The sequence below is a fragment of the Homo sapiens genome, chromosome 16 (genome assembly GCF_000001405.40).
Source record: "Homo sapiens chromosome 16, GRCh38.p14 Primary Assembly".
NCBI classification, from domain to species: Eukaryota; Metazoa; Chordata; class Mammalia; order Primates; family Hominidae; genus Homo; species Homo sapiens.
Genome location: NC_000016.10, coordinates 83,176,093 through 83,191,291, shown reverse-complemented (window position 1 = coordinate 83,191,291; position 15,199 = coordinate 83,176,093). Strand labels below are relative to the sequence as shown.

General features: G+C 41.5%; 1 protein-coding gene across 9 annotated transcripts in view; it reads right to left on the bottom strand.

Annotated features, from left to right (window-relative positions):
- Window positions 1-15,199, bottom strand: part of CDH13 (cadherin 13) — a 1,173,672-nt gene that overhangs the window by 609,349 nt on the left and 549,124 nt on the right. For 2 of the 9 annotated variants that reach the window (XM_017022849.3, NM_001220491.2), the window contains one exon: window positions 10,198-10,422. The exons of 6 other annotated variants lie outside the window; for them this stretch is intronic. In XM_017022849.3, the coding sequence (XP_016878338.1) occupies window positions 10,333-10,422 (90 nt within the window). In that variant the 3' untranslated portion in view covers window positions 10,198-10,332. Of the gene's footprint in view, window positions 1-10,197; window positions 10,425-15,199 lie in introns of those variants that run through there. One more of the 9 variants, NM_001220492.2, reaches the window with a different exon arrangement.

Below are 15,199 nucleotides of genomic sequence, written 5' to 3'. Positions count from 1 at the left end.
GGCCTAGACAAACTATTAACACTTGTGATTTGTTACAGGCTTATTCTGTCCCAGTGGTGCTAAACACTGAAAATGTATTATCTCGTATGACCCTTCCCAAAATTTCAGGAGGCAGGTTCTTATTCTTTCCATATCAAAGACAAAACAACAACAATAACAACAACAAAAACTTCACCAAAGTTTAGGTTAAGAAACTATCCAAGTAATATGTAAGCCTTTCTGCCAGTTGGACCTTTGCTCGGAATCACTACATAAAGCAATTTGATTGATTATTTGCAAAAAGTTTAACCAAATAAGAACATTCCCACCCCAAACCTGTCCTATAGGTGACCAAAATGAGCCAACTGAGAAATGGTCGGGAGAGTCGTTTTGGCCAGCTTAGTAATTACATAGTAACAAAAGAGGATTCAATCAATTGCTTAGCAATTAGCCATTATAAGAAGATGGGAAAGAAATCAATTGGCTGTTTGGTTGAGCAGGAAGCATTTTAAATGTCACCACAGTGAGAAAAATATTTGAAGATTTGTCTTCATAATGGTTAACTAATTGCAATCTTCACATTTTACTGCCTTGGAAAAATAACTCAATTCAAGAGACAGAGTATTAGCACTTGGGGCTATTTCTCCATTGTCTTAGTTAGCATCAAAGGGTGGCATGTAAATTGATCAGTCTCTATAATTTAGGAAGACCCATCCTAATGAACAGCATTTGTGAGGGCAGAGTCAATGTGTTATTCATCATTTTGCCATCATATGTACCTAGAACAGTATGGGGGCATAGGGCAGGCGCTCAAGACATGGTGGCAACTGAAAATAAAGGACAATTGGAAAAAATACTAGGGTCTGTCCCCAGTGCTGCATTCCCTTTAAGTGAAACTCCAGTGCTATAAATGCAATTTGACTTTGGTAGAACTATGGTGAAGGACAGTAGCTATAGATTTGTTTACCCAGCAGGCTTTCCAACCCCTTCTTACATCAACCCTCCCACTTGCCCCATGACAATCAGCTGTACCACAATCATGGTGCCATGACATTCCCCCACTTCCACTCATAATGAGATGTACTTCTAGCCAAGCGGAACCCATTTATTTGGCCTCAGAGATGGCTACAGCAATGGGCATTTGCCCAATGTTATACCAAACAGTATTCTCCTTGGGGTATTCTTGTTAGATGTGTGTATTAGTCTGTTCTCACGCTGCTAATAAAGACATACCCAAGACTTAGTACTTTATAAAGGAAAGAGGTTTAATTGACTCACAGTTCCACATGGTGGGGGAGGCCTCACAATCATGCCGGAAGGTGAATGAGGAGCAAAGTCACGTCTTACATGGGGGCAGGCAAGAGAGCTTGTGCAGGGGAACTCCCACTTATAAAACCATCAGATCTCATGAGACTTACTCACTATCATGAGAACAGTATGAGAAAAGCCGCCCCCATGATTCAATTACCTCCCATTGGGTCCCTCCCGTGACGTGTGGGGATTATGGGAACTACAATTCAAGGTTAGAATTAGGTGGGGACACAGCCAAACCACACCAGGCTCAGAGGGAAGATTCCTCTTGCCTTTAATATTCACAGTGCTAGAAGGATGCAGCTTGTGACCAGCTTCTTTGACCAAGTGTCTGTGGCAGGAGAAGATCAGGCTACCACGCAAAGGGAGAGTACAAAGTGCAACTGTGTGAGGCCTGGATCCAGCTGTCCTAAAGCCAGATGCACCTTTGGATTTCCTGACTATGGGAGTCAATGAATACCCTTTAGCCTTAGCCATGTGAACGTGTATCTGTCACATACAACCTCTGTGTTCTGACTAACACAGTACCACTTTCCAGCAACTGTAGTTATTTTTGCTCCACTTTGTTAATATTGGGGGCAATCAGAAAAAGAAAGAACCAGAGGTTGAGAATAGCATGAGGAGGTAATCCACAGAGGATTTACAACTTTGAAATAAATCTGCAGCAAGTCCCAGGGAGACTGGGGGCAAAGTAATCCTGATCTAAAGGAGCAGTTGTGCATGAGGGGCTGGAGGCCTGAGCTTGCAGCTGAGGGTCTGGGATGATGGAAAAACACAGACGGCGGAAATCTACAGAGTTCTAGGCAGAAAGGGGCCCTAAATTAGGATGAGAGCACACACCGAACAAAGTGACCGCTTTTGCCTTATCTATCACAAAGCAAAAAATCAATGTACTTTGTTGAAACAGGGCATCGAGTTCCTTTCTAAAGATTCTGTTAAACATAGCTAATAAATACAGAAAATGCACCATGCCCATATTACTAATGCAGGATGAGTAGATGTCAGTGAACTTCCATGACTGAGATCCCAGTGTCACAGCTAAAGTTAAAAACAGAGGCTTCCTGAAGGGTCTCACTCCAAGCGTGCCTCTTCCCAGCCCAATATCTTTGTCAGTGATGTGAAAACTCACCCCGACTACAGGAGAAAGAAAAGAAGGCAAGGCGACAAGCAGCTGAAGAAGGTACAGTAAACCGTAATAATTGCTTATAAAATTTTATGGTTGGTCATTAATCCTAACCACCTCAATTTCTAAAAAGAAAGATTCATAGTCTTTTTAAATACACAAAATTTGAGTTTATAGGAAACTTAATAATATTCATGCTGATACAATAAGAAATTCCAGGAGGCTTAAATTTCCTGCAGACTTTGGAGGGGAGGCAGCCTGTTACAGTAGAAAAAGGACAGGTTTGGGAGCCAGGACCATGGCCAACGCCTGGCATGGGGCTTTAAGCAAATCCCTGAATGTCTCTGAGCTTCAGTTTCCCCCCTCTGGGAGATGGGCAGCGAGGCTGGCTTCTTTACAAAACCACCAAGAGGACTCAAAAAGAATGCATGACAGTTCAGAGAGGCGCAGAGCCTGGTTTGCAGGCAACCACACTCAATAAAACAGAGCTAAAATCCTCACTTCCCCCGACAAATCTTTTCAAATTATATCCAGAATACGGCCATAACCACGCCTCTCCCCTTCCACCACCATTGCTCTGGGCCAAGCCCCCATTGCTTCTAGAGCCTGAGTGATTGCAGCTGTTCCTACCCTTGCCCCATCCACACTCTATTCTATTCTCCATCCGTCAGCCAGAGCCATTCAATAAAGACATAAGCCAGATCACATCTGTCTTCACCAAAGCCCACCAGTGGCTTTCCCACTCAATTAGAATAAAGGCCAAAGTCCTCATGGTGGGCTCCAAGACCTTCTGTGATCTGGTCACAGCTTTTCTCCTATCTAACATTCCCTTGCTCCCTCTGCTTCAGCCATACCAGCCTTCCTACAGTTTCTAGAATATTCTGGACACACTACTGCCCCCAGCTTTTGCACTCATAGTTCCTTTTATCGAGGATGCTCAGCCCCCAGATAGATGCATCCCTGCACTCATCCCAGTTCATCAGTTCTCACTGAGGGCCTCCCTGTTGAAAACTGCAACCTACTCTCATCTCTAGCCATTGACCTCCATAGCCCCTATCAGGACCTATCATAGCAACTGACACACCATGTATTTTATTAACTTTTGATTTGTCAGGTTCCCTTACTAGCAGGTGGACTGTAGGACAGGGCTTGGTCTGTTCTGTTCACTGCTGTGTCCACGGAATTTACAGCAGTCCTCATCATGTAGCTGGAGCTCAATGCATTTTTGCTGAATGGAGAAATTAGTCATTTCTCTCTCTGAGTCACTCCAGAGCTGCGGGTTGCAAACAGCTTCTCCCATCAAAAAACACCCCTGCCTGGGATTTCCCCTGCCAATCTACATCCTAAAGTCCCTGAGGCTTCAGGCCAGGCTGTATCCAAGCAGTAGAAAAAGGCAGTAGAATCAGAAACCCTGGTTCTGAATAGTCACCTTTGCCTCAAGTCATGGTTTTATCACTGATGACGGGAAAAATGAAACCTAAATCAGCTGGCATTTGAGAGGATTCAAAGAGCAACATAAAAATGTCAAGCTCATGAAGGTGCTCTAATAATGCAAATATCCTTCTTCCTTTGAGTGACTGTTGTAAGGATTAAATTAAATTTTGTTTGGGGCCAGGCGTGGTGGCTTACGCCTGTAATTCCAGACTCTGGGAAGCCGAGGTGGGTGGATCACCTGAGGCCAGGAGTTCAAGACCAGCCAGGCCAACATGGTGAAACCCCATTTCTACTAAAAACATAAAAATTAGTTGTGTGTGGTGGCAGGCAACTGTAGTCCCAGCTACTCAGGAGGCTGAGGTGGGAGGATCACTTGAACTCGGGAGGTGCAGGTTGCAGTGAGCTGAGATCACACCACTGCACTCCAGCCTGGGTGACAGAGCGAGACTCCGTCTCAAAAAAAAAATTACAGTAATAAAAAATAAATTTTATTCATAAAATAGGTTACAATTTTCATTAAAATATCTCCGTCTCCCATCTGCCCTTCACCACCTTCACAGGGGATCCCAGCTGCCTGCTTCAATGGGGGCACCACTTCTTCAGCTCCTTCTCCCCATCAGAACTCTTCCTCCACATGAGAAAGAGTTGGCTTGTCTCACAAGAGCTTGACTTGTCTCATTCTTTCAAGTCAAGCTTTTGATTTTCCTAAGTTACAATGAGCTCATCCGATGCAAGAATTCAACATTAGCCCTGAGAAATTTAACTTTTTGTAACTCCTTAACCCAGTGGTTCTCAACCCTGACGACATACTACAGTCTTGGGCAGAGAAGGGGTAGATTAAACACAACGTACGACAAATACAAACATAAAGCAAATAACAAAAAGAAAGAAAAACAAAACAATAACAACAAAAATACTATGACAACGAAAAGCAACACAAGAGAACCTCAAGCATCAGAGGCTACTGATAAGGCTGTCTCGAAAAGTCGAATGACTAAGATGCCATTAGGCCGGGCGCTGTGGCTCAGGCCTGTAATCCCAGCACTTTGGGAGGCCGAGGCGGGTGGATCAAAAGGTCAAGAGATTGAGACCCTCCTGGCCAATATGGTGAAACCCCATCTCTACTAAAAGTACAAAAATTAGCTTGGCATGGTGGTATGTGCCCGTAGTCCCAGCTACTCAGGAGGCTGAGTCGGGAGAATTGCTTGAACCCAGGAGGCGGAGGTTGGCTGCAGTGATCCGAGATCACGCCACTGCACTCCAGCCTGGTGACATAGTGAGATTCTGTCTCAAATAAAATAAAATAAAATAAAATAAAATAAAATAAAATAAAATAAAATAAAATAAAATAAAATAAAATAAAAAGATGCCTTTAAAAATAATACAATTTTAAAAGAGCTAATTTAATGACTAAATGACTAAATGCTGTTTATCAGGAAAATATCTCCTCTAAGGTATAATTTCTTTTCTTCCATTAGACAATACAGAAACAAAAAGGGGATGATAATTGGTTTTCGGACATACTCCATGGATAAGACATAGAGGTTCTCAGGGAGTATGTGAACAGGAGATGGGCAGGCAATCAGTAAAAAATGTTTCAAATGCATAAATCTATCCATCAGTGGCAGGAGAATGTGGAATGAGCTGTTGTAAGTTGTCACCACTTATGATTCTGTTCCTGGTAATTAATTCAAACAACAGTGCCTGTTTATTCCATAGATCACTCCTGTTCTCGTTATGATAACCTGCAGAACATTTCCAGAAATGAATTGGACCAACAGGTAAGTAGGAGAAACAGATTAGACGTTTTCAGAGGCATGGGTGGGAGTGTACTGCACTGGGGAAAATTCCTTAGATGAAGTGATACTGTTCAAGTATGAAAAATCATGACTTACCGTGGTGAGAAATTACCTGCACAATTTAAAATTCTCAGAGAAAATATAGCGTTTAGCATCAAATGTGACAAACTGATTTTGAAGTCTTTCACTTTAATTTGTCTCAATTTTTTTTAAAGATCTGTTTGTGTACATGGTTGACAATTTTTACAGCAACACAGAAACTTACTGAGAAATTATTAGTTGCCAGAAATTACAAGGTGCAGTAGGTCAGGTGCTTTATCCTCATAGCAAAAATCTTTGGAGTTATTATTCTTATTTCTTTTTCACATCAGAAGTTTTGCTCAAAGCCCCATAGCGTATACTTCAAAAAGAAAAATAAAAGATGGGGTATGAATGTAGACCAGCAAAGAGCACAGACTTGGAAGCCAGGCTGCTTGGATACAAATCTCAGTGCTGCCACGACCAGCTGTAGGACCCTTAGGATTCTGTGCCTCAGTTTCTTTATATATAAAATAGGGATAGTAGTAGTATCGGCCTTACCAGGTTGGTGGGAAGATCATAAATATATAGATAGGTATATCAGAAAGATAGAGGAAAGTGTATATATACCCACACACCACACATGTACACTTATAAGTGTGTATTTAAAAAATCAAAGAGAAATAGAAAAAAAATAAGCTGCTACTACACACACACACGCACACACACACACACACACACACACGGCTTAGACATCACAAACACTAAATGAGCTAATGTATATATAGTCTGGAGCAGGGACTGCTACGAAAGCATCAGGTATTATTACCGTCCTCATCAACACCCACCCTGGACTCACATCTTTGCTTTTTTGAGATGGAGTCTCGCTCTGTTGCTCAGGCTGGAGTGCAATGGCATGATCTCAGCTCACTGCAACGTCTGCCTCCTGGGTTCAGACGATTCTCCTGCCTTAGCCTCCTGAGTAGCTGGGACTACAGGCGTGCACCACCATGCCCAGGTAATTTTTGTATTTTTAGTAGAGGAGAGGTTTCACCATGTTGGCCAGGCTGGTCTTGAAATCCTGACCTCAGTTGATCCACCCACCTCAGCCTCCCAAAGTGCTGGGATTACAGGTGTGAGCCACCGCACCCTGCCCCTGGCCTCACATCTACGTCAAGCCTTGGTATCTGTGAAATATCTCTTCTCTGGTAGTCCTGAGGTTCTGCTTCCCTCTCATAGAGTCCCTCTGTTGGTTGAGGAATGATACGGGGAGGACAATCCCATTGAAAGCAAAGAGTCGACAGAGTTTTACTTTTTAGAGTTAATGTAAGAGGCTGATTATTGGTTTCAAAAGGTGAAAAATAAAAGCACCGTAGAGAAATCTTGGCCCTCATGAGCCTCTAGATGGGGAAATTTACTACAAAATATATTCAAGCCAGATTTGGAAACAGCTATTCATTGTTCTGACTTTTTTTTTTTTTACTAGTTGTGTGTGTGTGTATGTGTGTGTGTGTGTGTGTGTGTGTGTGTGTGTGTGTTTAACCTCTAGAGGCTATGAGATGGCTGACCAATGGCAACATCTCTTGAGCCTCAGTCTGCCCCCTCTACAATCAGTGCTATGGCTTAGATGTTAATGTTCAAGTTGAGAAACGGGGGTGCCTTAGAGACTTCTTGCTCTGGAATTTTGGGATTGGGGTGGTGATGAAAAGGTTCTTTCTCCCTTACTTCTAGTCAAAACCAATTCACCTAATGTCTGCTTCACTCAGTGAATTTTTAAATTAGATTTTATTTGAAGGACACATTTTGAACATCAAAAAACTTTTGCCAAACACTGCCTTGGATCCCTTCCAGCTCTGACGTGCTGATGTCTGAGACTAGACTACCACTCGCTTTTCCAAGACTTCCATATAAAGCACTCACCTGAGTAGCAATGGCAGGTGCCGTCCCATCAGGGAGGGACACTGGATCCAGAGCGAAATGGAAGCCAAACTAAACACACCCTGACTTTGGAAAGAAACACAAGAACTTTCCCATATTAAGATTCTGAATGATGCTTTCTAAAAATGTGTGAAGAAAAATTGAGTTTAATTCCACCAGTTGAGGCTATGGTGATATTATGGGATTTTTCTAAAGGACTTGGTGCGTACCCAATTCCCATGTGTAGCATATAACTCACAGATTTAATTATAGATCTTCCTCACTCACTAGTTCCCTAGGAAACAAATCCATGGCTTCACGTCGTGTGCGTGGAAGGTCATAGCAAGAAGATAAATATTTTCTGCATTTTGAAACTTTATCTAGAGGTCACAGGTCTGCAAGTCAACAGACAAGAGCTCTTCAGACAATAGCCAAAAGCTATTATGTTTGACTAATATCAACGATACTTAAAACCTTTTGTGTTTATCTCAAATAAAGCACTTCCCACTCAAACGACTAAAAATTTTTGCTATATCCCTTTTCCTTTTATCAGGTTGAAATACAAATAAGACGAATAGTTCCCTTAAATGTTTCTTCCGACTCTTAAGATAAAGTCTGTTTATAATAATAAAAAGAAGGAACCTTATCTGAAAAATCCAAACTAATTTTAATCAGGTGGACAATGCAGGTCACAGTTTTTTTTTAATTTTTATTTTTTATTCTTTTTTACTGTGAATCAAACAGAAAACTGCCACAATTGGTGAGTTACACTGAACATCTAATACAAGAGGAAAAACTAAAAGCAGAAAATTCAGAAAAGGAAAAATGCAAATGCCTTTAAGTATGTGATAAAAAGAATCACAAAGTAAAGAGACATTTTTCCTCATGACGTGGGAAATCAGTCTCATTTTACTTTATAATTTTGTGTATTTAATACTGTCTGAATTTGGTTTTCGCTCATTCCCATTAGTGTTACTAACTTTTTTAGTCCTAAGTGAAGATTAAATGAGAAAATACAAGTAAAGTACTTGGTAAACCCCAAAGAACTATACAAATGTTAGTGATCACAATAAGCATTTAGACTATACATTCTTAAACACAATCCTTTTGATCACAGCATGGCATGACTAACAGAGGGCTTCAAGTGTCCGCAGACTTTAAAGGACAAAGCTTAGAGACTGGTGGCAGTTATGAACTTCACCTTTCACGTGGAGATCATAAAGTGAACACACATGACCATCCAACAAAACTCACAGAAATGTCCCAGAGGGGTTCAAAAGATGAATTATTTTCCCTAGCAGAGCACAGCAAACCCATGGCAGACAGAAGACCAAGGGGTCTGAACCTGGCATTATGACTCTTCCACCTTCTCCTGCAGCCTCAACAATACACAGTTTATGGCCTTAGCTGGAGACCAGAGCCATCAGAGGAAGCTTTCTTTGTCAGTCTTTAGCGAAAGATCCAGATGAGGAGAAAGAGACAATATGGTGATGTAAGGCGTGACTAGCAGGAGGCAGGAAGGATTAGTTAATCATCACTTCCTTTCAAAATGCATCAGGTAAAATTGCTCTTGCTCAGTTTAAGGACCTCCATAAAATATTTGTTAGGATGTAGCTGGTATTTATTGAGCAATTACTGAGTACCAGACAATGCACACTTTTCCTATGTTCCCAAGTAGTCCCACAATAGCACTTTGCCACAGGTAGAGCACGCTTGGAGGGGAATCCAGCTTCTGTGTGCAGCTAATTAATAGAAGAGATGGGCTCTAAGTCAGGGTCTCTGTGCCCGACGCCTGTGCTCCAAATCACCACCTAGTTAGAAGGATGGTTCTGACCAACCTGCAATCAACATCTCCATGGGAAATCTATGCAAACTGTGGTCCTTCCCTCTCCAGAAAAATACACACACATACACACACACATGCACACACACACTCACTTTGCCTGTGATTTCAGGCATTCAGAGACTCCCTCAAGTCCATCCAGGGACCAAGGGTGAACACCCCAGGTTAAGAAGCTCTGTCCCACAAGCCTTCCTGGCTCCAAGTCATCCCCTCTTCTCCCCCTCTTTTCAGCATGCGGCTCAACTCAACCTTCCTGAGTTTCTCTTATTTTGAACTCACAGAACCAGGCAGGCATAAGATTCTAGCTCATGTACATTTTAATGATGACATAACTGAGGGTATTTTTGCTTTATTGAAGAAAAGCCAATTGTCAAGTACTACAGCCCAAGATGTGGTTAGAGAAGCTTCCAACTTGACGGGACTTCTGGTATTAACCACATAGTGGTTCCTTTATGGGGCACCTGGGCACCTAGGCTAGAGCCACCCACAGCTTGTTAGCAAGGAGGTCCAGTGGACCCCTCTGCAGACTTATCAAATCCAAATGTGAGGGTGAGGATGGGAATTCGCTTGATTCTGTGAACAAACTCCCCTAGTCAAGTTGGGACACGTTGCAATTAAACACCTGCCTTGGACTGAGAAGAAATTAAGTCCCCTAATACTAAATGACTTGCCTGAGGCCTCATTTCTTGGCTGCAAAGCCTTCAGTAGATGTGATGACTTCTGACTCTCTGTCTACACATTTCTATCCCAAATACCCAATAATGTGATCAAAATTCAGTCAACAGGACAATTTATTTAAACACATCATTCTGTAGAGAAAATGGATTTGAAATACCGAGTGCTAGTGGGAAGTAAAATGTTTGTGATTTATTCCTTTAAAGCAATAATGTCGCCAAATAGGATGTTCATTAAATTGCTAAAATTGTAATGCATGGATTTAAATCTGCTGTAATGCCTTCATTCAAGAGAAGTTCGCTGTTAATAGGATTGTGGGTTCTCTGTAAGAAAAAAAAAACACATTTTGTTGTAAATTGGGGATTAAAATAAACAAGCCAACAAATGACTACAGCATCATGGATTAAGCAGCCTTTGTTTGTTTGTCTTAAAGAACATTACCTAGAGTGACCGTTTTTCTAGAATTAAAATTGGCATGCATAGTCTAATAATTACGTCTGTGAAAAGGAGGCATGGCTTCGGGAGTCTGCATAGTTCCAAGATAATATGGACTGCTGGGACCATGTTTTCACATAAAATGTACAAAGCACACACTTCAAACATATGGCTTCTTTTAGGTTGTAACTGAAGAAATCTTAAATGATGGGACACTTCTTTACAGATCTGATGTCATTTCAGTTAGCTACCACCAAAAGGTGAGTCCTACGTTAAAAGTCTCATGCTCTAAGCCATTTAAATTGGTTCCATTCCTTGGCACTATTTTTGTAAAAACATAGATTATGATAATCCATATTAGGATAGTTCCTAGGAAGTTTGTTTGTTCCTAACCTTATAAAGGAAAGGATGTGAAAAAAAAAATACATCCATCGTCTGATCTTAACTGATTTTTTCATTTGCATTTATTTCCTCCAAAGACTACAATAGCAAAAATAAAGTTACCCCAAAACCATTTCAGTTCTCTTAAAATATGTTGATTGATTTAGGGCTATGTGATGAAGAGAATGTTTTCCTAATAAAAAAAACAAACAAACAAACCAACAACAACAAAAAAAACCTTACTTTTAAACGACAATTAAACCAATGAAATTTAAAAACACAACAATCACTATGCTCCAAGGTCTCTGTGTTTTCTAAGTAAAACAAAGTTTACTTTTAAGAGAGGGAAATCTACTCTAAAAGCTACAAACAGTGGCCTACAGAAAATATATGGATTAAAATTAGACGCTCAAAGCAGTCATTGAAAGTAAGCTATTCTCCCATCGTTTCCTGTTCATAAGCACTTATAAATTAAAAAAAAAAAAACTTAACCTATTTTGATAGGAATATATGTTGAACTAACTTTAGTTTGATGCTAAGGAATGCTTCTTTTAAGTGGAAAATATAAGTCATTTGTATTTTATCCTAAATCTAGGGGCAATGTAGCACTGGAAAAGACTGCAATTCCAGAAATCTGGGGAGACGAATTCAAACTCTGGTTCTGTGACTTCAGGCAGGTTACTTAACACCTCTCTAGGGAGGCTCCCTTTTCTTTTTTTTTTTCTGAGAGAGAGTCTCGCTCTGTAGCCCAGGCTGGAGTGCCGTGGCGTGATCTCGGCTCACTGCAAGCTCCACCTCCCGGGTTCACTCCATTCCCCTGCCTCAGCCTCCCGAGTAGCTGGGACTACAGGTGCCCGCCACCACGCCCGGCTAATTTTTTTTTTTTTTTTTTTTTAGTAGAGACGGGGTTTCACTGTGTTAGCCAGGATGGTCTCCATCTCCTGATCTCAGGTGATCCACCCACCTCGGCCTCCCAAAGTGCTGGGATTCCAGGCGTGAGCCACCGCGCCCATCCTCCCTTTTGTTGATAGTAAAATCATGGTCCTGTTAGCATGTGCCTGATAGGGTTGAGAGATTTAAGGAGATAATAGCTTGTAGTGCTAGGGACACTGCATGGAACACAAAAGTTCTGTGGTCTTCTGGGAAATGTGGATTTCATATGAATGGGACTACACATCCCAAAGGCTTTCCTGTATTTCCTGGAATCCCTGAACTCCTTACTAAGGCAGTTTTCCAAGGAAGGGGATTGAAAGTCCTACTAGGCCACCACCACATTTGCTCTGATGTGAGACTCGAATTCCATAATTGCCAATAGGGTGGCGCATTTGTTGAGGCTTAATGCATACATGTCCTATGAACAAATAGTTGTGTAAAAATATACCTCCTTTTTGACCAAGGTGTATATTTTTTGCATAATGAGAAGCACAAACACACTGTTCCAGGAATTAACTGCACGTCTCTATGTAACTTCCAGAAGCAACTTTAATAAGTTAGGGGAGAGTGAACCAAACACTGGGAGGATTCAAGGCCAGGCTATTTGTGCATCTTAATGAGCATTAATTAAAGGTCTTATTCCAAGGAAACGAGTGGAAGATGAAAAAAAACAAAGCCTCAATGACTGTATGGATTCTCTAGAAATAAGCTATGATTGTTAGGGTCATTAGCAGGCATTCTGACATTCAACTATAAAGCGTTATTCATGAACACAGAGCGGGAAAAATTACACACTCCATTTAAATAAAATCAACCAGCTAACAGAATTCACAAAGTGATCATTTTTAAAAATGGAAAATTGAATTTCAAATCAGCATTTTAATGGCCCACTGATCCAAATATTAAATTGATAATCAGGTCTGAGTTATTTGCGTGAGTAGCTGGAAATATTCTTATAATTCTATAACCATCTATGAAATGTCAGAAAATTCACATGTTCAGAAATTATGGTCCCAAGAAGAATCTTAGACTATCAGTGCCAGAGGGGACTTCAGACAGGATCTAAATCAGTGGTTCTCAACTGGGGTGCGGCGGGGGAGTTTTCCCTGCTTGGAACATTTTTCTGGAGACATTTTTAGTTGTCGCAGCTGGCGGAGGAGGGCTGCTGGTAGCTAATGGGTACAGCCACAGGTGCATTAAACATCCTTTTATAAGCACAGGACGGCCTCCCACAACATAATTATCTGCCCCAAATGTCTATAGTTCTGAGGCTGAAAAACCCTAATCTGGATCAACCTTTTTCACTTTATAAAACAGAGAAGCCAAAACCAGGGCTTTTCAGTGGACCGATAGTTAGCTGTGAACCTAAACAGGACTAGATTTCAGGGGTTCTGGTACTATTTTTTTCTATGCTAGGGTTTCCCGTAGCTCCTTTATTCCTGCCCATCTACTACCCACTCATCCTCAATCTATCATTCAGGATTTATTAAACACCTACTATATGTTTAGCACTGGGAATACATCCGTGAACAAGATAAACAGTCTTGCTCTGGTGTGTTTATAGCATGGTGGGAAAAGCAGGTATTAGGTAATACTACTGCAAATAATTATCATTGTGGTAAGTGCTTCATGAGAGCACACAATAAGGGGAACTCAATTTGGTTTGACATTCTCTTGTTCTTAAGCCATTTCTCCTAATGCAATACTTGACCACGTATTTAAATAACCCTAAAAGAGATTTTGAGTAACAGGCGTGGGTCTTGACAGGCTTATCCCTATGTGGAGGGGACCTTGCTACAATGTTGGAGGCAAGAGTAATGGTCCCCATTCACTGGAGACTCACCCTGCACTAGGCACTAATATTAAGTGCTCTTCTTATATTTAATCCTCACAACAATACTAAGGGACAGGTACTATTATCATCACAATCTCCAACTTACAAGATCTCCATATTTTGGATGAGTAGCTTGGCTTGCGGATATGCCATGATCTATCATAGCTGAGTTAAACTTTGAGGAAAGTGATTGATGTTGACATGCTTATTCATTGAGGGTCCCCTTTGTGCTGTAGCAGACCTGGGGATGGCATCAGACTATCATTGGAGATTTGGTGATTAGTCCCTACCTTTGAAGAACTAGCGAGGGAAATAAATGTCATTTGAAGCAAGCAGCTGAGCATGAGCAATGTTATCAATTGTCATATTTAAGATAAAACAATGTGGCAAAGATCTGAGTATTTGAGTCTCAGAGGTATGCTCTTAGAACAGCTGTCTAAAATGTTAGCCACTAGCCACATGTGGCTATTAAAATTAAATAAGATTTAAAATCCCAGTTATTCGGTCACACCAGCCACATCTCAAGTCCTCAGCAGCCAGATGTGGTCAGTGCTTATCATACTGGATGTGCAGATAGAGAACATTTCCATAATCACAGCAAGCTCCAGTGGATGGCAGTGCCTCATCATGGCATCCGGGGTAAAAACTTTCTAGTTGCCATTCCTAGGGTGACATTCTCCTGCTCATAGTTTGGGACCTCAGGCTAACTCTGGCTCAGGCTGATGGGAGAGGAAGGTAACTAAGGGCTCGCTCAGACTTAAGACCCAGGCTCAACAGAGCTACAATCCGGCACTCAGACAACTTTGGAATTAGAAGGGTCCTTAGGGATTAAACTTCTGCCTCCATTTCATCAAGCAACTAAAGACTTTTATCGCAAACTTTAATAATATATACCCACCCCAACCCCCTTTTAAGACAGTAATTCTCCTTCCATAAATGTATTCCTTGCAGATTATTAGGAATGTGCACAAAGTTGAGGATGCTCAGTGGAATTATATTTATAATTGGGGATGAACTGGACCCCCACTAAATGTTCCACTAAAAACACCTATAGAACAGATTAATGCACAAGGACTTTTTTTTTTTTTTTTTTTTTTCTCTAGCTGGATTCTTGCTCTGTCACCCAGGCTGGAGTGCAGTGATGCAATCTGGGCTCATTGCAACCCCCGCCTCCCAGGTTCAAGCAATTCTCCTGCCTCAGCCTCCTGAGTAGCTGGGATTACAGGCACCTGCCACCACGCCAGGCTAATTTTTGTATTTTTAGAAGAGACAGGGTTTCACCATGTTGCCCAGGCTGGTCTCGAACTCCTGACCTCGTGGTCTGCCTGCCTCAGCCTCCCAAAGTGCTGGGATTACAGGCGTGAGCCACCAAGCGTAGCCACAATCTTTAAGTACAACGTTTTACAAGTCATTTTGGCTTGGAAATGTGTTGAAGCATATTAATTTAAAAAGTAGGTTGAGGCCGGGAATGGTAGCTCACGCCTGTAATCCCAGCACTCTGGGAGACCGAGGCAAGT